This window comes from Homo sapiens, chromosome 7, assembly GCF_000001405.40.
Source record: "Homo sapiens chromosome 7, GRCh38.p14 Primary Assembly".
In the NCBI taxonomy this organism is placed as follows: domain Eukaryota; kingdom Metazoa; phylum Chordata; class Mammalia; order Primates; family Hominidae; genus Homo; species Homo sapiens.
Window position 1 is genome coordinate 140,136,919 of NC_000007.14, and position 24,536 is coordinate 140,161,454.

Consider the following 24,536-nt stretch of genomic DNA (forward strand, 5'->3'; position numbering starts at 1 on the left):
GGAGGTTGCAGTGAGCCAAGACTGTGCCACTGCACTCCAGCCTGGGCGACAGCACAAGACTCCGTCTCAAAAAATAAAAAATAAATTAAAAAAAAAAAAAGAGAGAAGCTTAATAGCAGAGGGAAAGGGATCAAAAGGGATTAACCAAGTTGGGGATAGAAGGTGAGGAGTAGGGAAGGTGAGCCTTAAATCCAGATAGAACAGATGACTGGATCTTGGGTGTTTTCCCTGTAAGTACACAGAGTTGGACGTCTGACCAGAAGATAGTCAATGCCTGGTCTTATGTTCTTCAGGGATGAGAAGCATAGGCAAGCTTCTCTCCAAAGCATAATTACTCAAAGTTAAGTCGTGATCCATTATGGATTGTGTAATCAATTTAGTGAGTATAACATGTTTTTTAAAAAATTAAATCATATAGAAAAAAATGAAGTGTATCACATTATTCTGCCTCATAGTAACTTACTTAGTATTTCATAGAAGTTAAATTCAAATTATTTCATTTTGGGACTGTATACTTAAATTCTAAACTAAAACTGCTATAAATTTTAGTTAAGTCTCCCTTGAGATAACATCATATTATTTATTTACTTTCTCCAAGAGTTACTCCCAGTCAACAATTATTTCAAGTTATATATCATATACTCAGTGCTAGCCAGAGAAAAATCATTTAAAAACATTTATGACAATAAACTAGTCAATTACACATGTAACAGTTCCCCCAATTTGCTAACCTCAATTTTTATGCTGTATACTTAACAAAAGGAATAGCCTCTATTTTAAAAGGAAATATTTTAATGTATGCAGGTAGCTTAAATTTTTAAGTATCTTACAAAGATATTAGAAAAATTACTAATATTTCTAACAAAACAAATGAGCAGTCAGTTGCCAGTAAGTCTCTTTTGAAAAAATAGAACAAAATGTCTACTCTATTGGAAAAAAGTACTAGGAAAAAAGCTGCATGTAAAATAAAGAGGTCATATAAGTTACCTAAAACCAACCCAAGTGTGTATCAAGGTACATTCAGGCAAAGGTTTTAAAATGACAAAGCCTATAATTTTCCCTTTAATTTTGTGAATATAAAAATGCTAGTCTGCAGCCTAAAATGTCAAAACAAATAGTTATTACAGGCCAGGTGTGGTGGTTCATGCCTGAAATCACAGCACTTTTGGGAGTCTGAGGCAGAGTTCGAGACCAGCCTGGGCAACAAAGTGAGACCTTGTCTTTACAAAATATCAAAAAATTAACTGGGTGTAGTGAAGCATGCCTGTGGTCCCAGCTACTCCAGAGGTTGAGGCAGGAGGATCACTTAAGCCCAGGAAGTCAAGGCTGCAGTGAGCTATGATAGCACCACTACACTCCAGCACGGGTGACAGAGCAAGACCCTGTCTCAAATAAAAAAAAAAAAATTTATAACATAATCCAAGCCTTTTTCTCTCACATTTGCACAATAACAACATTTCAATGTATTCTTCTGAAGCACCTGTAAAAGATTCTGAAGCATCTGTAAAAAGCTGAAAATAGATATCATATTAGGTGTGATGTTGGTCCACTCCAAAAGATGCCTGAGGCTTCCCTGGCTTTGCTCTCCCTTCTTAGGAAGAAGAGTGTGGTCAGAAACCTGGTCTGGTGTGTCCTTGTATCTCTACTTCCTCAGATCTCAGGAAGGGGTTTCAGGCAGAGAGGATGGCTGGGCAGGACTCCAGGCCATACTCAATACAGCAACCAAATTCAGAAAATATAAGTAATATTTTAGCTTATCAATGCTCTCATTTTCTCCTTAAAATATAAGGCATATGAGTGCATTAAAGTCTTATTCTGTATACTCTCCCAAAATACTACTAAAGATCTTCTATTTGTGAAGAGAGCAAAACAAGTGAAATCAGTTTCCAGAAACAGAAAAATTTTACTTTACCACACTTCTCAAATTGAAAGATATCAAACTATGTAGTTGAGTTTGGGGACTCTGCACTGGCAATTAAGACTGACAGTACATTTCCCCCCTTAATCTTCTGACTTAATGAAACAAAAACTACATCCTAAATACCTTGAGCAAAATCTTTCCCTACAGTTCTTGAAGGGTGTAATATAACTCCTCAGAGTATCATTAAAGTATTACCATGTACATGTAAGTTTGAAATGTCAGTTTTTCTGAAATGTCCATTTTTATTTAAGCATCTAGTACTTACTCAAGGAGGAACCATGTAAAACTGCACAGTTGGGACAGTGATACAGGTCAATGTCAACAGCATGATGTTCTTCTACTCCAACACAGCTAAGACAAAGGAAACCAAAATCAGTATGTAAGTAAGTTGAAAATCTTCGCTTAACTATAATACAGTGGTTGGAATTTAGCTGAGAAATGTACAACCACCTCACCAACACATTTTTGTAGAGCACAGAAACACATATAAAGATAAATTTTATTCTGTTCTCTACAAACTTGCTAAGTGAGTGTGAGGGAGAATATACTATACTCAAAGTAATCCTCTCTTAGCAGCAGTAGAGACATCAGAAATACTGCAATTATAAGCCATAAAATCCTCAACCATTATGTAAATGTCACTGTTATTAAATGTCAATAAAATGAATCAAAAGATAAATCATATTAAAATGTGAACAATGATAATACAATATGACAAAATTTGTGGGATGAAGCACTTGTAAACAGAAACATATAGCTTTAAATGCATCTGCTAGAAAAAAAGAGGCTGAAATTAATGAGCTATGTATCTACCTCAAGAAGTTACAAAAAGAATAGACAAAAAAACCTTAAAAACAGATAGAAGGAAAAATAAACAGCAGAAATCAATGACATAAAAAACACGTAATACAGCATTGAAGACAAAAATTGATTCTTTGAAAAGATTAACAAAGCTGGTAAACCTCTAGCAAGGCCAAGATAAAAGAGAAAAGGCATAGCCCATTTTAGGAATGATCCTAAAGACATTAGATATAAATGAGGATATTATGAACAATTTCATGCTAAGAGATTTAAAATATTAGATATGGGCAAACCTGAGTCATGAGGAAATAGAGTGCCTGAATAGTCCTGAACGATCACTTAGTAATTTTAAAAATTGACCCACAAACAAGACTCCAGGCCCAGATGACCTCACATGCAAGTTCTATCAAATATTCAAGAAATAAATAAATCTAATATTATATCAAATTTACTCCAGAGAGTAGGAAAAAAGGATTTGCTCCCTAACTCATTTAATGACAGCATAACCTTGGTACCAAAACTTGGAAAGAATTATAAGTCACCCTCATTTATGAGTAAAGATGCAAATATCAAGTTGGGTCTATCCCAGGAATACAAGGTGGTTTTTAACACTAAAAATCTTAAATCAGTGAAACTTACCACATTATTAGATTAAAAGAAAAATATCATATGACCATTTAAAAAGATTCAGGACAAGTATTTGATAAAATTCAACATTTATGTTTGATTAAAAAGTAAATAACAAAACCTCTTAGCAAGCTTAGAGGATACTTCCATAATCTGGAAAAGGATACTTCTAAAACATCCTATGCAAATAACATGAAACCAGTCACTCTGAGATTAAGAACACAGCAGCTGGGTGTGCTGGTTCACACCCGTAATCCCAGCACTTTGGGAGGCCGAGGCGGGTGGATCACGAGATCAGGAGTTCAAGATCAGTCTGGCCAACATGGGGAAACCCCGTCTCTACTAAAAATACAAAAATTAGCTGGGCACGATGGCCGGTGCCTGTAATCCCAGCCACTTGGGAGGCTGAGGCAGGAGAATTGCTTGAACCCAGGCGGCAGAGGTTGCAGTAGGCAACAGAGTGAGACTTCATCTCAAAAAAAAAAAAAAAAAATAGCAAGAATACCTGCTATTACTACTGAATACTATTCAGTGTTCTAGTGAACACTGTGCTGGAGGATCGAACTGGTACAGTAAAATAAGGAAAAGAATTAAAAGGCATAGGAATTAGGAAAAAAAGCTGTCATCTGCAAGTGCTATGGTTACACATCCAGAAAATGCAAAAGAATCTATAGAGAAATCATAAGAATCAAGAAAAAGATTGCTAAATATTAGTATATTAAAAATTCTAGTTCCATAAACCAACAATATAAAGCTAAAAAGTGAAATACCATGTACAACTGCATAAAAATGTCAAGTACACTGGAATAAATTTAACAAAAACTATGCAAAGCTTCTTTAGGGAAAAGTATAAAATATTATTGAGAGACTTTAAAGAAAACCTAAATAAAGGGAGATATACACCACGACCATGGGTTTGAGGTTCAATAATGTAAAGATATTAATTAATTCTCCTCAAAGTGATTTATAGATTCAATTTAATTCCAATCAAGATCGGTGGAACCTGACAAGCTGGTTCTAAAATTAATATGGAAATGTACAGGGCCAAGAATACTCAAAGCATTCACAGAAAACAAAAACAAAAACAAAACAAACCCCCCCCACCCTAAAACTCTACCAAGTATCAAGACTTATTTTAAAGCTCTAGGAATCAAGGCAATATGAAACAGATGCCAGTGCCCAAAACCAGATCCATGTATATGTGTGCACTCATATGTAACAGGAGGCACGGAAGAGCACACGGCAAGAATAAACTTTTCAATACAAGGTCCTGGACACTTTTTATATAGCCTCTATATCAATATCTTATATATATGTATCTTTTTATTTTAAAAAAGATATATTGGCCTAGTGGGGTGGCTTACATCTGTAATCCCAGCACTCTGGGAGGCCGAGGTGGGCGGATCACTTGAGGTCAGGAGTTTGAGACCAGTCTGGCAAACATGGCAAAACCCCACCTCTACTAAAAATACAAAAATTAGCCAGGCATGTTGGCGCATATCTGTAATCCCAGCTACTTGGGAGGCTGAGCCAGGAGAATCGCTTGAACCCAGGACGTGGAGGTTGCAGTGAACCGAAATCACACCATTGCACTCCAGCCTGGGTGATACAGTGAGACTCTGTCTCAAAAAAAAAGAAAGATATATATCTTTGTTAAGATAAAAAGAAACACATACATATTTATGTAAAATATATTTATATAAAATAGGCTTGATATTTTATATATCCATAAATGATATTTATATATAATATATATTTATATATTAAAAAGATATTTATATATCATATATATATAAAAGATATTTATATATCTTTTTAAAGGAAGCAAAATAAAATTATTTTGCTATCTCATAAAAATGTATTCCAAAGTAGATGATAAACCTAAACACACATAAAACACAAAGTACAAAGGTTGTATAACATAATATAGAAAATATCTTTATGACTTTATGACAGGAAGGACTGTCTTAATCAAAACACAAAAAGCACTGTCCATAAGGGGGAAAACTGATAACTTCAGCCATATTAAAATAAACTCCTATTCATTAAACTATAAAGAGTGAAATGATAAGCCAGAGTAGCAGAAGACATTACAATACAGGTGGCCACCAAAGGAATTATACCCAGAATATACTGAACTCCTATAAATCAATACAAAAAAAAAAACCAATAGAAAAATGAACAAAATACTCGGATAGGCACATCATAAAAGGAACTCTAAGTGGTTGAATCACACATAAAAACGTGTACAACCTCATAAGTAACTGGGGGAAATATAAGTTAAAAGCACAATAAATACCACAACATACCCAACAGACCAGCTAAAACTAAAAAGCCTGATGATACCATGTGTTGAAGATGATGTAGAGCAATAGGAACTTTAAACTGATAGTCTGATACAGCCATTGTGGAAAACAATTCTGCACTAAAACTGAAGAATCAAATATTCTATGATTACTCAATGACCAAGCAAATCCTCTTTTAGGTAAACACACCTTAAAGAAACTCAGGCACATGTGCACCAGGATACCTACCTATACAAAACCGCTTATAGAATCATTATTTGTGAAGTCTATAAATAGTAAAATGGATACAGTATATTCTCATAACAGAAATCTATATGGTAATGCAAATTAAAAAAAAAATCATACAATAAATGAATGAAATCTACAAGTTAATCAAGGCGGGCGGATCACGAGGTCAGGAGATCGAGACCACCCTGGCTAACACGGTGAAACCCCATCTCTACTAAAAATACAAAAAATTAGCCGGGCGTGGTGGTGGGCGCCTGTAGTCCCCACTACTCGGAGGCTGAGGCAGGAGAACGGCATGAACTCGGGAGGCGGAGCTTGCAGTGAGCCGAGATGGTGCCACTGCACTCCAGCCCGGGTGACAGAGCAAGACCCCGTCTCAAAAAAAAAAAAAAAAAAGACATAAAAGAGTACATATGATATATTCTATGTATGCAGAAAATTCAAAACTAGGGAAAGCCGAAGTATACTGTTTAGGGATAATAAAACTATCTTAAAAAAACAAGGAAGAGATGGATCTTGAAAGGACAATGGTTTCCTCTGAGGACTGTCATCTGAAAAGGATGGCAGGTGGTGTCCTGGGGTTCTAGACAATTATTACATGGGTGTATATTTTATAATTATTGATTAAACTGTAGATTTATGTTTTAGACACATTTCCTCTATTATTCCACAATTAAAATACTAAATAAAAATACACAACACAATACACAATTAAAATACTAAATTTCACAATTAAAATTCTACCCACAACCATGTAAAAAATTAGGTAAACAAAAATCTTGAAATGTATTAATCTAATAACTACAACAAAATATCAAAAGCAATAAATCAGAGACCTCCGGATATGCAAAAACAAGCCTACTCTCACCTGAGAGAACTCTAGTACACTTGCTACTGTAAAGTCTTTGAGAGCTTGAGTAGAGCTTGCTGCAATCCCAAAAGGTCAAAACCAAAAGATGTCAACAAATAACATGACATTGCTGCTTGAATACTGAATCCACATAACTAAATCAAGCTATTACACTTTGCTTTTGAGTAGAACATAAGTTTACTTTATTTGTCCAATTTGGATTTACATCACTTTTCCCATAGAAAGCAAAAGGTGAATATGCTAATTGTTTAAAAACTTATTTTTTAACTGAAAGACTATAAATTTCCAATTCAATAAATAAATGTTATACAAAATTGTATATATCTTTACATACAATTCCCTTGGTCCATAGTTTCTTATAAGAAACTCAAAAAGGTTCCTGTAACCCAAAGAAAAGGTTAAGAATCACTGGATGGAGGATTCACACTTCCCGACTTCAAACTTACTTAACAAAGCTATGGTAATCAAGACTGTGGTACTGGCATAAGGATAGACACACCGAATAGAACTGAGAGTCCAGAAATAAACTCTTACATTTGTGGCCAATCGATTTTTGGCAAGAGTGCCAAGATCATTCAAAGGGGAAAGAAGAGTCTGTTCTACAAATAGTATGAGACAACATACATATGCAAAAGAATGTGTTTGGACCTCTACCACACACCATATACAAAAATTAACTCAGATGGATGATATACCTAAAGGTAAGAGCTAACACTATAAACTCTTGAAATAAAGCATGAGTAAGTCTTCAAGGGTTCGGATCAGAATATGGGTTTTGAGATCTGACACCAAAAGCACACGGGACAAAAGAAAAAGTAGATAAACTGGTCTTCATACTACAGTCTAAGGGCTTCTACTTTTCTCAGCTAAGTTTAGTGTGAGACACTCAGCTGAGTATGGAAAAAGGTAGAGAGGTATGAGGAAAGGAAATATAAAAGGGGTGATCTGTAGAACGAAAGACTAAGAAACACAATAAGATTGCTAGCTAGTGTTCAGAGTCCAAATCCACCTGAGGTTCCAGATGTCTGTCCCCACCATACACACACACACACACACACACACACACCCTCATGCTGAAACGTAATCCACAATGTTGGAGGTGGAGCCCGGTGTGAATTGTTTGGGTCATAGGGGCAGATCCCTCAGGAATGTCTTGTGCTGTCCTAGGGATGGTCAGTGAGTTCTCATGAGATCTGGTTTAAAAATGTATAGCACCTCCCTCCCACTCCCTTGTACCTCTTCTCACCATGAGAGCACCTACTCCCCCTTCGCCTTCTGCCATGATTGAAAGCTTCCTGAGGCCTCACCAGGAGCAGATGCTGGCACCACGCTTCCTGTACAGCCATAGAACCATGAGTCAATTAAACCTCTTCTCTATAAGTGACTCAGCCTCAGGTATTTCTTTATAATGATGCAAAAACAGCCTACTACAAAACCATTTAAACAGCCTAATACAAAACCATTCCTATGTATTTATGTGATTTTTTTTCAACAATGTTCACCCATGTGGTGCAGACCCAGAGCAGGAAATTGGATTCATCCAGAGTTGGGGTTTTTGTAGGTAAAGACCAGAAAAGGAGTTCCTGATATTTACAAGGGAATTAAAGGATGACCCGTGAAATGTAAGTGGTCAAAAAAGATGTGAAGACGGAAGGTAGTGAGAAAATGGTGAGATGATCTGAGGGGTCTTAATGGCTCCCAGCACTGAGTCCGTGGAAGGCCTTGAGCAACTGACCTATAAGGAGGCGAGATTATGCCCAAAGAGTAGAATGTTCAGAATCTGACATTTCCGAGGTAGCATCATCTATAACAGTGATAAGATCCAAGTGTGGAAACAGTGTGTGGCTAAAGGGCAACAAAAAGATCACTGCAGATAAGTGAAAAGATGCATGAGAGCTATCTCTGCATTCAATAAAACAAGTTCAAAACCAAACTTCCCTGATTTTAAATGCAAGGTTCATTAAGTGTCAAAAGAAATAGGTACTATACTCCCACCAAAACAGAAACTCAATGTTAACAGATGCCAAGTTGGCACTTTTTCTATAGAAACCCCTAGTTTGTCTTGTCTCACCTTGACCATGGCCACATTCCTCACTCCTAAGAAGTGACTGTGACACCAAAAGAATTAGAGAAAAAAAATGTTTAGATGTGTCCTGAAAAACCTAAACCAGCATATCATAAACTCTCCATGACATCTAAGATACATAAATCAGAATGACTCCCATGAGGGTTAGGGAAAAAAGGGGAGAAAGGGACATTTCAATTAGTTAAGAACACCTTGGGCTGAACATGACTATTAATCTTCAATGATGTATGAGTTCCTCTCTCTAGTGTCTACTTGTCATCCCACCTCACCCCATATAATCTGTTTTATGAAATGTCAGTGAAGGCTTCAGGTTTGGGCCAGTTCTAATCAACTGGTAAAACATTCATAGCTCCATTTATTTTGAAATTCAACACAACACAACAGTAAATTTGATATATCAATAAAAACATGAAATCTGGTAAACTAGTACATCTGAAAAACAGTCCATTTAAATTAACCATACAAAATACAATTTTAAAAAATAAAATTAAACACAAAAAGTTAACATTCCTAAACCAAGAATTATCTCAGGTCTTTGAAAGGAACCAAAAGGAACTACTGCCTACACTTCCGTTTCTCTCTCAGAGGGAGGCATAACTTCTCCCTACTCTCTTTATCACCCACTCCATCCTTCACTCACTGCCTCCCTACTAAAAAATTGCTAGAATCATGATAGCTATAACAGATATGTTAAGAGGAAATGCAGTAGGACACACAAAGAGCACAACTCTGAAAGCAAATTTTCTAAGGATCACTTTCAAACCTGGCACATAACCTTCTTTAGTCTCTTCCACTCACTTCTCTTGTAAAACTTTCCTTCATATATAGACTGTGACACTTTTTCCTAAAAGCAAAATGTTTAGCTTATTAGACCACTTTGTGTGTGAGGGCACAAGGGAGGTGTTTTCCTACAGGGTGACAATCTGACCTTTGCTGAATAGCTTCCATCTATAGAACAGCCTCACTGCCATTTGGTGAGTGGGGCAGTGACAACTTTAGCACTTTCCATTGTCTTAATCTTCTGAAATTGTTGCTTAGCTGGCATTTTTTTCTGACACTTGATGAGAACTGAATTGAATTAATGACTAACCGAAATTCCCTAGGATCAGCCAAACGTTCTCTTTTTTCCTCTCGGATAACACTCTCATTTATATTCTCTACTCTTGGTGTTAGAAGAGTGGGTGGCCAAATTCTTTCAGATCTTACTGTCCGTGGACTTCATTAGATATTCCTCTTGCTTCAGATACTCTCCCCATTCTTCACTGAATGATCTTACACTACCTAGTCTTCAAAGCCCCAAATTCCTCCTCCTTGATGATACTTTACTTGATCACACCACAGAAAGTCCTTCAACATTTTACTGATACACATTTCCTACCAAAAGGGTAGGAAAAAAAAAAACACATTTCCACTGACTTATGGCCTAACATTGTTTAATACTGAGCAATTTTTATATCCTATTCCCTGAACTGAGCTCTTTAAGATTTCTCTCTCAATACCAAGTACAAGATGATCACAGTAAATTTTTGTTGACTATTAACTGTGCTGCAAACTTACTTGAAAACTAATATATTGTGGCAAAATTTTTTAAAATTCTATTCGGTTTGAATTTTTTAAAGAATTTTCTTAAAATTCTTAACAGCTGGTAAAAACGGAAAGCTCTTTCAACATGTAAAGTACAACTTTCATCTTTCCTTAGACAGTAGAAGGCTGTGGTAATGAGATTTATATATCGGAAATTTTGCTTCAAGTTTTCACCTGTGTATCAGAAATTCACCTTCTCATCCAAAGCACCCAACTACTCATTTTCTTCACTGTGACATGTGACATAATCAGAGGACTGAGTCATTGTGTACCCCTAAAGTCCCACACTAACAAAGGAGGATGGGGAGTGGCCTTTGAGGTAAATTAACTCCGGGAATACAGAGGATAGCTGACAGCTTGCTCTGCATGTTTCCTTTCCTATCTTGATTCTGGGGTCAGTTTAGGTCTAGAGACAGCTATAGGAGAGGCAAGGTATCCTCAGTCTACTACCTCCATGACACCGGATAAACACATATCAACTGGCTTCAATGGGATGCATAGATTGTAGAATTAGAAAGACTTGATTTGATTTCCAGCTCTACTTGTTTTGACTTGGAGCAGGTTTCTCAATCTGCCTGAGGAGCAGGCGTTCCCCTGAGATTAAGCAGGACAATGTATGTCAGTATGTAAAGCATGGGACTAAGCCTATAGTAAGCAATGGCACAGTAAACATACTAAGTCATAAACAGCAGCTATTAATATTATTATCATGTCTCTACCAGGTTCCAGTCAGCCAACACTGCCCTAATCAACAGCGTATTAGCTACGAGGTTTGAGCCCAAATAGGAACTAGGCTTTTATGATTGGGCTTAGTATTTTTTTCTTCAATAAGGTCTCTTCAGAGCACACACCAGGCACTCAAATGGCTATGCTTCAAGAAAAAAAAAAAAAAGAGAGAATTTGTTTTCTATTTTTAATTAATTTTAGATGGTGGAGTTGAGAAAAATCTCTCTCTCTCGAGTCAGTCTGCCTGTGTTAGAATCCCAGCTACCCCGCTTAGTAAGCTGTATGACTTCGGGTAACTTACTTTACCTGTTTTTTGTTTTGTTTTGTTTTGTTTTTTGTTTTTTGGTCTCATCTGTAAAGATGGGAAATAGTAACAGTAACCCCCTCAAAGGATTTTTAAGAAAATTAATATACATAAAATGCTTAGAATGAAACTGTAGAACAATGGTTTTGTTGTCCAAAAATCTTACGTTGCTAGCCAGTAAAAATAAGGCTTATTAATTGGCTTAATAAGTTGACATTCTTACTAAAAATACTAGGATGCCAATAGGCATTTTCACTTTTAAATTGTTAATCGTTTTATACAATGTTTTAACCCTGAGACAGATCACTTTATTACCAGATATCAGCTAAGGTAAAAATTTATAATTTGTATGAATTATTTCCAGTGAAAAATCAAACTGGTAATGTATGATTAAATTTGTGGCTCAGAAAAACCCAACTTCTATTATTTTCTTGCTGACATAAAACTGTTTTCACAAAATTAAATGGTTTCTTCATAAATTGAATATGGTATGTTTCCACTTTTGTGAAGATTATATAATTGACACATTAAAGCTGTTTAGTGGCATACTATATGCTTAAGGGGTCTGAAGTAAATGCATACTCTGAACCAAATTCCTTTGGTTCACAATCATCTCTTAAGGTTCACTTATGGTTCACTTTTCCTACCTCCAACAGCAGGGCTCATGCTTCCAACTGTCCCAGGGCTTCCAGAGTTATTTCCAACCAGCTGATTAAAAGAATCTATGATAATAAGGGTGAAGGGAGAAAGACAGTATAAAAAGGAACTGATCAAACAACATGAGAGGAAAATTAGGTTGAAGAGCCAAGATGTGCACTCAGTGGTACAAAACATACTCCCCAAAAAGCTAAAAATCCTGTTGACAAGCTTCTAATTAAATCTGTCCCACAATGAATATGTGAAATATGCACATCAATATGATTTGTATGGTGATACATTATTTGCTTCAAGTACATAAATGCTTGTTATTTTGCTCTTTACTGCCTGACATCTTGGACACAGAGTAACTGGCAATGCAAATGGTGAATGCATCCTTACAAATAAGCACAAATCATTATTTCATGAAGGTAATAATTTTTATTAGAATGTTCTAAAGAAGGAGGAGGTGCTTTACATTTCTGAAATATTCAAGAAGCTAACTATATTTACTTTTCACTGTCCTGTGGTGAAAAGGACAGTGAAATTCTCAAGTTAATACTCTCTTATTCCTCAGCCTACTTTCTGCCTACCTGGCTGGGTATGAGGAATGTCTACACAGACTAAAGAAATTAGGATACAAACAGTGCCCAGTATATCTGCTATTTTTGTGGAGATAAAGACTATTCTTTTATTTATAAACTGTGATACAGCAAATAAATATCATCCCAAAATGAATATGATGTGAGAATTTGGTAAGAACTTTGTAAATCATCTTAGGGAAGAAAAAACTTGCCATGATGATAAATAGTATCAATTTCATAAAGGTTTGCTTGGCAATGTTTTTAAGTTAACAAAGGCAAGAAGTATGCTATCTGTAATATATATCTGAAGTGTGTATATACATAACAGTATGTATGTGAAGTTCTACAACACATGTGAATATTTATATGCCTCTCTTAAATATAGGTATTAGAGTGAAAGTCGCGTAGAGAAAAATGATTCCTTTGGCAGAGCAAGTTTTATGGTGTAATTTACTACCTGCTTTCTGTCTTCTTCTCTATCCATTCCCACCTCCCTTAACACTAAGGAAAGGTGAAACAGCACTAAGCACCTTGAGCCCAGAGATGGAAAATGGGAAAACCTTCCTGTTTCTAGCAGCTTTGACCACCACACAGGGTCTCATCAATAAAGAAATATATACACCCTACTACTGTCACTATTTTTGACTGATGAATTCTACAAGAAGAAACATTATACAAAAACTTGTTAGTACCTAGAAGTACAATGAAATGTTTACTGAGTCCAGTTCCTCATGAAATGCAAGACATAAGGAATTAACACACTAAAAACTTTCTAAATCCCTTTAACACTCAGTCTATCTGTGGCTCCCAAACCTGGCTATGCATTAGAATCCCCTACAAGCTTCTATAAGCTTCTACACGGCAGCCTTTCAAAAGAATGATGCAGCTCTGTAAGTAGGAATATGGAAAGATCTCCAAGATACGCTTGCTGTAAAGCAACAAAAGCCAGGTGCGTAACAGTTTGTATGCGATCCCCTCATCCCTATGTTTGTAAATGCAAGGTATATGTCTGGAAGGGCATGTAAGAAATTGGTAACAGCAGTTGCCTCTGGGAAAAGAAAACTGAATGGATATAGAATGGAGAAGAGGAGAATTGCTTTTCACCATAGAACCTTCTCTATACCTTCTGAAATCAGCAGTGTACATTGTTTATTTTTAAAAAGAAAAACACATTCCTGAGCCCCACCTTTGCTCTACAGGGAAAGTTAATGAGTGTGGCCCAATAATCTCTGTTCTTTTTTTTTTTTTTTTTTTGAGACGAGTTCCACTCTTGTTGCCCAGGCTGGAGTGCAATGGCACAATCTCAGCTCAATGCAACCTCCGCCTCCCAGGTTCAAGCAATTCTCCTGCCTCAGCCTCCTGAGTAGCTAAGGATTACAGGCATGAGCCACCACACCCAGCTAATTTTTTGTATTTTTAGTACAGATGGGGTTTCACCATGTTGGCCAGGCTGGTTTCGAACTCTTGACCTCAGGTGATACACCCACCTCGGCCTCCCAAAGTGCTGGGATTACAGGCGTGAGCCACCGTGCCCGGCCACAATAACCTCTGTTCTTAACAAGTTCCCCAGGTGATTCTTTTGCAGCAATCTCAGCAGAGAAATGGCACTGAGGAACTATTGATCTAAAACTCTAGCATCATGGCTAGTGCGACACCAAATTTTCATAGGAAGTGACTTTCTATGAAAGCTTCGTTGGACTTTAAGCTCCTTAAAGACATGGGTAATATTTAATTCAGAATTTCCCATTGCCCACAGATCTACCTAAAGCTGATTACATAGTGGATTCTCACACAATATTTACTGATTGACACAAAGCAGGAATGCCAAGAACATCAGGGAGACATTCGCTTGGGCTACCATCTTGGAGCCCGTTTAAATATAAATTTTGCAAATATAAAGGGATAGAAAATGAATGTGAGGGGGAAAGTACAGAACTGATTATTTTTTTCTTTCAAGAATTTATTCTGAAATGTCCATACCTTTTTCAATGAAAAAGGACACAGTATTCCTGATTATTTAGGTTCAGGCAACTATAATCCTCTTGTACAGGAAAAAAGGTCTTCATTCATCACAAATGTATATATTATGCCCATTTACTTTTCCTTTCATGTAGTTCCTAAATGTCCCTATCTTAATCTGACATTTGGAATGTCAGTAAAAGAAGAAGACAAATGGATTATAAATGAAATAAATAGGATCTTTAAAAGATGAATGAATAAGCATCTGAAACTCTCCAATCCAGCAGACAGTTTTATTTCCCATTGCAAGTACAGAAGGGAAAGCTATATTTTCTAGGGCCTAATGAAACCTACAGAAGATTGAATATATACAGGAATAAAAGATCATACCTTGGGATAAAAGATAATAGCAAAAACATATATCTAGGACACTTAGTGATGAATCAACTACAATGGACAAGAGTCAACTAAGGCAAATCAAGTAGATCTAGTTTTCCTACTAACCTTTCTCATCTCATAAATAGTCTTCAGTGCCTGCATCTAAGGGGAATAAACACATTCCAAACCAAGCCAAGCCAAGAGAAAGCATTCATATTAAAGGCCTCTCTGCTGGAACAGAAACTAAGGCAACATTCTAAGGAGAACTTAATATCCTTAGTATGCTTTTTCATTCTTGATGAAAGACGAGTTACAGTAGGGGTCTGAACCACAAAAATCTTGACATAACTGGTAACAACATCCTACGTGGAAATTTATATATGACCCAGAGACCTCAAAGAATTTTAATACATGGCCAGAAGTGGTGGCCCACACCTGGAATCCTAGCACTCTGGGAGGCCAAGGAGGATGGATTGCTTGAGGCCAGCAGTTCAAGACCAGCCTGGGCGACAAGGCAAAACCCAACTCTACTAAAAATACAAAAGTTAGCTGGCCGTGGTGGGACACACTTTTAATTCCAGCTACTTGGGAGGCTGAGGCGTGAGAATCACTTGATCCCGGGAGGCGGAGGTTACAGTGTGAGCTGAGATCATCCCACTGCACTCCAGCCTGGGCGAGAGTGAGACTCCGTTTCAAAAAAAAAAAAAAGAAATCCAACACAATTACAAATCAGAAGTATCCATCAATAGCAAAATAGGTGACGCTGAGTTGCCAGGAAAGGTCAACAGCAAGCACTGGACCATTCTATTTCGAAACATACAAGTCAGGGCAATATGTAAAGTACATAAAGTGTAAGAAGGATTTTTAACCTATTCACATGTTGGATCCCTTCAAAAGATAATTTGTCATTATAGGTTCCTCAAAGTCCATTTTGTAATTCCTTTTTTTTGAGACGGGGTCTCGCTCTGTCACCAGGCTGGAGTGCAATGGCACCATCTCAGCTCACTGCAACCTCTGCCTCCTGGGTTCAAGCGATTCTTGTGCCTCAGCCTCCCGAGTAGCTGGGAATACAGGCACGCGCCACCACACCCAGCTAATTTTTGTATTTTTAGTAGAGACAGGGTTTCATCATGTTGGCCAGGAAGGTCTCGATCTCCTGACCTCGTGATCCGCCCACCTCGGCCTCCCAAAGTGCTGGCCATTTTGTAATTCTTAATTTCCACTAAAGGTCACGTGATCGATGACAGGCAAATGTAAGGAAAATATAGGCGGTCCTTACTTTGCATGGTAGTGCAGGACCATAAAAGTAACCATGCGTGAGGCCGAGGCGGGCGGATCACGAGGTCAGGAGATTGAGACCATCCTGGCTAACACAGTGAAACCCGTCTCTACTGAAAATACAAAAAACTAGCTGGGCGTGGTGGCAGGCACCTGTAGTCCCAGCTACTCAGGAGGCTGAGGCAGGAGAATGGCGTGAACCCAGGAGACGGAGCTTGCAGTGAGCCGAGATCACGCCAGTGCACTCCAGCCTGGGCGACAGAGCGAGACTCCGTCTCAAAAAGAAAAAAAAAAAAAAGTAATCACACAAGCTGAAATCATGCCAAGTGATTTTAATAATCAATGGGGGAAATCACAATTGTTCTGGTGAACTTTAAAAATGTTTGTCAAAGCATTAAGAACTCTCTTACTGTTGGTTATAATGTACAGAGAAATGAAAAAACAGTAAAACTAATACTTCTTTAGTACACTATAATTTAAAACATTATGCCATTTAGCATGCCTTCACTAAGTGCCTCTGGCTGCCTGTCTAGAGTTCCGCAAATGGCGGCAGTGGCAGCGTTCCCACTGTCAGTTACTTATTTTATTACTCCATTTATGCTCAATTGGATTTTACTTCCAGAGTTATCATTTTTTGTTTCTTTGTTGCTCTTTCATTTTTACTGGCCACTTCCCACTTTCGATTATCTATTTTGCTAATAGGTCATGTAAGTTTATTACTGAGAGGCAAGGAGGCAGCAAAACATGCTCTCCTGTCTGCGTGTAAACTGAAGAACAGACGCGTGCCTGTTATTTTTGCAGTGATTTCTGATCTGCATACTGAAGAGTCTGTACTTATGCATTCATAGGTAACACACCATGGTGACTGAAATTTGAATCCTGGGTGACTAGTGTTGTTATCTAATGGTAACTGAAATCAGTGCACACCAGAACCCTGCAAAGCAAGGACTGGCTCTACAGCATTCCCTTAAAAAACATTTTTTTTAAAAGTGTCCTGGACAGGCACAGTAGCTCATGTCTAAAAACCCAGCACTTTGGGAGGCTAAGGCGGGAGGACTTCTTGAAGCCAGAAGTTCAAGACCAGCCTGGGCATAATGAGACCCCCGTCACTACAAAAAAAAAAAAAGTTTTTAAAAATTAGCCAGGTATGGTGGCATGTACCTGTAGCCCCAGCTACTCAGGACGCTAAGGTGGGAAGACTGCTTGAGCCCGGGAGTTTGAGGCTGTAGTGAGCTGACTGCACCGCTGCACTCCAGCCTGGGAGACAAAGTAAGACTCTGTCTCTTAAAATTAAAAAAAAAAAAAAAAAAAAAGACAAAAAACAGTGTCCTGCAGGAGTCAAAGTTATTCACAAAAAGATTCCACAGTTCGTAAGAGAAACATAAGGGAGACACTGGGCTGAGATCGAATCACCTTCATTTACCAGCAATACTTCTCAGTGAATTTAACAAGTTAACAAGCACTTTCAATTTCCATGATGGGGATCAAGCATAAGTGATAAATACTGTACCCAACCTCGGGTCTTTCTCTCTCTCTCTCCCTTTTTTTTTCCCCACAAAACACTTCATGGGTTATTATTTTCCACCTTGGAAAATTGCCTTAGAAGCTAATTTTCAGACTCATCAGCTATGAAGAGTTTATTATAAATTTGTTTTTATAATTATAAGTGTTACAACTTTATGATTTAAATTTACAAAATTAAAACATTTTTAATGTTTTGCAATTTTACAATTGGTACAAAGTACCAATAAACCAAGTGTATAGTAAAACCACCCCTTTATCAACACAGGAGACTAAAATGGTGACAGCATTACCAAGCATTTACTGACTACTAACAAAGCACGTTAATGAATACATATGAACCAAAGAAGTCAATAACTGATCATACACTAAAACTTTCTAAAACTATCTTTTTAACCTCAAAAGAAACAAACAAATTGTTTGTCTCCAATTACCCTTATTACAACATAATTAACAAGTATTTGTAAGGCACTTTCTAGGCTGAAGTCTAATGACTGAGTCAAATCTTCTTATGTAGATCAAAATACAAGACCTACATAAGAAGCAAGATATAACATATCTCTAAGCCAGCCATATGATTTTCTTCTAGATAAGATTACCTGGAAGCCAGGGCTACCTTTACCCACCAGGCATAGCTTCTATCCTAGGGTAAGAATTCAAAGGTATAATCTAGCACCACAAGCACTCTGATTTCAAAAATTCCAACCCTGACTGCCAGGTTTATTTAAGTGATATTTGCCAAATCCCTTTTGCACAGCTTGACTCCATTCCTGGCTAGGGTCATCCTTTTGTCACCAGTGTATCAGAATACGGAGTGGGCAATTTAAGAAGACCTGTTGCCTAATCCCATGTGGACATCTTGTTTTGCTCTAGTTAAGAAAACAAAATTAGGAGACAGTGGGAACTGGTCAAAGCAGACTAACAGGCAACAGGAAAAAAGAATCGCAAGGAAGGAGATAAAACACCATCGATAAATGGCCACTGGTGTGGGGCAATCTGGTGCACAAACAGTCCAGCAGCCCACATGGCACAGAAGATAACTAAGGTCCGTGATACTTAGTCAACAAAATTATATGCCAACTATTTTTAGAAGGATTTTGACAGACATGCTCTTCTTGAAAGAATACTACACTATTTAAAGCAGTTTAATCTCCTGAGTAACTTTTCTGAGGACAGTTACATTTCACAAGTAGAACTATCAGTTATAGGAAAATCTTATGTATGTAGACCATATCATTCCCCAACGATGGTAAAGTGGTTGCTAGTTTTCTTATATGCCAATTAATCTGTGAAATGTTAACACTTCGTTGCAACAGTTTTCATGCTAAAGGTTACTTACCATAATGGGAGGTTTCTAGTGTTTTGAAAAAGAAGGGATTCTAAAGGAAGGGAGAAATAAGACAGCAACAAACAGCTTCAAATTAAAATCATATCACAAATAACCTTCAAGGCAGTGTATTTTTTTTGAAGGTAGCAGGACCAGAGAACTATTCAATAAAGTAAGAAAGCAGCTTTCATATTCTACTTTGACAGCCATGTTCACAATACATTTTGCACACAGACATAGGTAAATGAAATCACATAATTACACAGGCGTTAATACACAAACACGATTATCATGTGAAAAATCTGTTATCAATGAAATCCAAACTCTATTTTCAAATCCCCTATCTCTTGCTTATTATCCTTCTTTTCATTAACAATTTACCTACTGGTTTAAGGTTGGAGTCCCCCATAAGCAGAACCTGAGACAGGACTGCAGGCATTCAGATGGGAAGTGATCCATGGAAGCACTGGTAAGTGAATGGAAAAGTGAGACACAGAAAGGGAGGGAGCCCTGGGGACATTTGGAAGACTAAGTATAAGGGGCTTCAGAAAGGTCCCACCCAAAGGGAGAGAGGAAGCTAGGTATTTATCTACTATCTCCCATTAGATAATGGCTGAGGGCTATCCCAGAGGCATAATGCCCCAGCATTTCAGACCTGCTTCAAGTACAAGCTGCTGAGCTCCTGCAGCTAGAGAATGCCCTCAGACCAAGTATCAGGTGCTTTCAGCAAGAAGTATTTCACAGAGACAGAGACAGAGATGGAAATAGAGAAAGCCAGGGGATCCGGGTGGGGCTCCCACAGAGCCTGCTGCATATGTACAAGCCTAGTCTCGCAAACCTCTAATGCACACACCCTTAACTTGCACATTTCCTGTACAGATATGCTCATCTTCATACTCACCCTCTGCTCCATTCTCTTATCTCAGCATCCTCCTAGGGATAAACACTGAATAGGAATATACACAAAATGGCATAATAAATAGTTACAGGTAAATAGGTACAGGTTCAGTAAATAATACTTGGGTAATATTTAATAATTACTGAACAAAGATCAAGGACAAAATTGTTCAACTTGATGAGGAAATCCACAATTGAGCTGTATAGGAGGAAAAGAACCATCTTCGGATCTTAGGAATTCTCCAAAGGGAAAAATAATTATTTTTAGCAACTCACTATGTGACAGTTCTAAAGACATGAATAAAATCGATGGATTTTTTTGTCCCACCACTGAGGGTAGCCTCAGCTTTACGCTGAACTATGGTAGGCTCAGCTACCATGAATCTCTTATGAGACTACACCATTATGTGAAAACACTGAGGCCAGGCACAGTGGCCCATGCCTGTAACCCTGGCCTTGGGAGGCCGAGGTGGGAGGGTCGCCTGAGCCCAGGAGTTCAAGACCAGCCTGGGCAACATAGTGAGACTCTGACTCTACAAAAATATTTAAAAATTAGCTGGGTGTGTTGGTGCATGCCTGTAGTCCCAGCTACTTGGGAGGCTGAAGTGTGAGGATCGCTTGAGCCTGGGAGGTCAAGGCTGCAGTGAGCTGTGATCATGCAACAGCACTCCAGCCTGGTCGACAGATTAAGACTCTAATTAATCAATTAACAAACAAAGAAATAATTGATACAGGGCATGGTGGCTCATGCCTGTAATCCCAGCACTTTGGGAGGCTGAGGTGGGTGGATCACTTGAGGTCAGGAGTTCCAGACCAGCCTGGCCAACACGGCGAAACTGTCTCTACTAAAAATACAAAAAAAAAAAATTAGTCAGGTGTGGTGGCACACGCCTGTAATCCCAGCTACTCGAGAGGCCAAGACAGAAGAATTGCTTGAACCCAGGAGGCAGAGGTTGCAGTGAGCCGAGATCACACCACTGCACTCCAGCCTGGGCCACAGAGCAAGACTCCGTCTCAAAAAATAAATAAATAAATAAATAAATAATAATAATAATAATAATAATAATTGAAATGTTGAAGCAGGTGGGAAAAGGGCAATAGTCTTTCCTGCAAAAGGGATTAAAATATCTTAGCAATCTTAAGAGATGTTCCCCAGAGAAAGAAGTACTTCAGGAACTATTTAAAAAGAAAGGAAGAAATTGTGGCAATGAGCAGGGAATTTTCAGAGAAGTTTTCCTTAAGAGGACAAATGTTCCACTAAAGTTCATTTAAGTATTGACTTACAACTTACATGTTAAAAGCACCACTCTGGCTTCTGGAGGGCAGACAGAGGGGGACCAGTTAGGAGGCTACTTCAATAAGCCCATCTTACACAAGGATAGTGATGAAGGCAACCAGTAGTAGTGAGATTCTGAAGGTAAGCGAACAGGATTTGGCCAAATAATTTAGTGCAGATTATGAGAGAAGCATCAAGGATGACTCTAAAGATTCTGCCCTGAACAACACGAAGGACTGCCATTAAATGAAATGAAGAGGACTACAGGAGGAGCAGTTCTGATCAAGAAGGGAGGGAGTCGTGGGGTTTCATTCTGCATACACTCAAGGTTGGCCTACCTACTATTCATCCAAGTGGAGATATAAAGTTGGCAATTTATATTCAAGACTTGAGCTCAGGGGAGAGAGCTACGAAAGAAAACAGGTGAGCGCTGGAAAAACTACTGAGTTACCATGGGGTACCCAGCCATAAAAGATCAGGGAGACGAGAAGCAATTGCAGTTAAGAACTGAGAAGGAGGGGTAGCAAAGCAGAAGGAAAATCAGCACAGGGGTTCCCCAGATGCCAAGTTAAGTGATGCTCACTGATAACTTTGAAAAGAACTGTTTCAATAGTGTGTTAACAATGAAAGCCTGATTGGATTGAGTACAAGAGAAAATGGGACCTCTCATTTCCTAGGAAAGGAAAAAAACCAAAAAACTGGAAACAGCAAGTAGGAACAACCTGGTGAATTTTGCTACAAAGGTAGCAAAGAAACAGGGCTGCAGCTGAAAAGGGATGTCAGTCAAGAAAAGGGTTTTTTGTTTGTTTGTTTGTTTCTTTTAATAAAGGATACAGGCCGGGCTTGGTGACTCATACCTGTAATCCCACACTTGGGGAGGCCAAGGTGGACAGATCACTTGAGGTCGGGAGTTTAAGACCAGCCTGGCCAACATGGTGAAACCCTGTCTCTACTAAAAATACAAAAAAATTAGCCAGGCGTGGTGGCACACACCTGTAATCCCAACTACTCAGGAGGCTGAGGCAGGAGAATCACTTGAACCCGGGAGGTGGAGATTGCAGTGAGCCGAGTTCATGCCGCTGCACTCCAGCCTGGGCAACAGAGCAAAACTCCATATTGGAGAAAAAAATAAAAATTAAAAATTAAAATAAAGGATATATGCGTACAATTGGCATGCTAACAAAAAAAAATGGTGAGGTAGGGATACAACTGTTGAAGCCAGGTCCTTGAATGGATGAGTGGATGGGATCTAATACACCTAAAGATAATTTCCAACTACAGCAAAGACCACAATCTATATGACTTAGCAGTTGCCTTTTCGCGTTATGCATATGTGGAGGAACAGACTTCAAGCAGGCTTGAGGCCTCCTAGGAAGATGAGATTCCTGAGAAGTTGATCATCAATTCACCCAATCTTGCCATTCATACTGAGGACCGTCCTGAGGCTGTGGGCAGTTTCTCACATCCCTGGAACAGGCAATGTCACCAGTAAAATAGGGAGGAATCAAGAGGACCTCAGGACCCATATAACCACAAGAATGGCTAGACCTGATGGGATCCAGATGCAATCAGCATATCACTGGCAACAGGGCAGCTTTATGGGAAATTGAAGGCCAGGGAAGTTTGTCCTGCCAGTGGGACAAATTCTACTAAGCCTCCTGCTTTGTATAGCCATTCTCATTTGCTTATTTAAGTTCTTCAATCCTTGACTTCCATTAAAAAAAAAAAAAAAAAAAACCTGTACCCTTTCTCTGTGTCTACTAGCCTATCAATCATCATTACCCTTCTGACAATCTTATAGGTACACATTTTAGATAATATTTTTTATTTCAATAAATACATATTTTCTTACACCTATTAAAATGTAGCGTGAGCATCACTAACACGATTTAGCAGACACCTCTGTTTAAGGCAAGTAAATTTTTAAAAATAAAATCCATTTAAAGCAGTTTTAAAGAAAAATATTAAATAAGCAACAAAAGTGTTACACTGATATGGCAGAAACTGTGATAGAGGCCAATGAAAGCCTGAAATGTGATGGTGGTAAATGAAACTAAAAAATCACTGATGCAGTGGAGAGGAAAGGAAGGAAAGGGAAGAAAAGTCACTCATATCCTAACGTTACTTGAAGTCCTAAGAAGCTTGTATCAGGGTCTTTCTTTGTTCTGTCCTCTTAGAATGTCTGAGGTGGTGACTGAATCAGCAGCTGCCCTGGGGTAAGGGGTAGGGCTGCAAAACAAAACACTCTGCAGACCTGCAAGAGATAAGCACAGGACAGACAGTCTCCGATTTACAATGGTTCCATTTAGGATTTTTCAACTTTATGATGGGCTTATCAGGATGTAATACCAAGGTAAATCAAGTAGCAGTTCCCCTAGGGCTGAGGTGGTAACACTCCTGAAGAGATGGGTGGCCCCAACAAGTGATCCTGAGGGAGAGTGGTGTAAGACTTTGGAGCTTTAAGAGAATAATCAATTGCTTACGGGGTAAAGAATGAGAAAACTGAAAAATCAAGTTCAGACTGGGGATAAGACCTCTTCTACTACAGGCTGGATGCCCACAAAGGCAAAGATAAGAAGAGAAAAATTCAGGGAGTAGACTCCAGCGCTGACTACTTGGCATTTGGATGGTTGGAAAAGCAGGTAAGAGGAAAGATGTCCCTGAACCAAACAGAAGGGACTGCGTTCACCCAGTCACCATGGGCTCCAAAGAAAACTTTGATCCTTTGATATAAAGAAAATAAGGACAGGCTAGCACAAAAAAGAAACTGACTCAAAACAACAGGCACACAAAGTTAGCCTTCAAAAAAGTACCGAAATAGGAAGAATGTAAGAGAGGAATATGAATCAGACCTGTGACAAGTTAAATTACGTAAAAAGACTATAAAATTCCTATAATCTGCATATAGTTTACAACCCATGATTCCTTCAAAAAGTAATAAAGTAAAAAAGACTAACCACATGTCTACATTGTAGCATATGTGACAAGTGAGGCACTCTGGCAGTTCACACAGAAGAGGAAAAACCCATGAACCCACAAACCCAGTCCTTGGAGAGGAACACTCCCATGTGGTCCCCACAGAAAGTTTCCAAAACCATTGATGGAAACTGGCCAGAAAGCCCCTGTTTCAAGGATACCAGTGGTCCCATACATCACTGACCAGCTCAGTTAAAATGCTACCAAAACTGTTTCATGTTCTGACCTTTGTTCTTTTTTTAAAACTATT

The 24,536-nt window shown here is 38.3% G+C and overlaps 1 protein-coding gene across 2 annotated transcripts in view, besides 1 other annotated feature; it reads right to left on the bottom strand.

Moving 5' to 3' along the window:
- The window catches only part of KDM7A (lysine demethylase 7A), a 92,238-nt gene that overhangs the window by 52,173 nt on the left and 15,529 nt on the right, over positions 1 to 24,536 (bottom strand). For both annotated transcript variants that reach the window (NM_030647.2, XM_047420879.1), the window contains exon 2: positions 2,187 to 2,272. In NM_030647.2, coding sequence (NP_085150.1) covers positions 2,187 to 2,272 — 86 coding nt within the window. The remainder of the gene's footprint in view (positions 1 to 2,186; positions 2,273 to 24,536) is intronic.
- Positions 22,551 to 22,845: a silencer, noted in NCBI's record as "tiled region #991; K562 Repressive non-DNase unmatched - State 15:Elon". NCBI's record gives its function as "represses a minimal TATA promoter and a strong SV40 promoter by Sharpr-MPRA in K562 cells {active_cell/tissue: K562}" and the evidence as "EXISTENCE:reporter gene assay evidence [ECO:0000049][PMID:27701403]".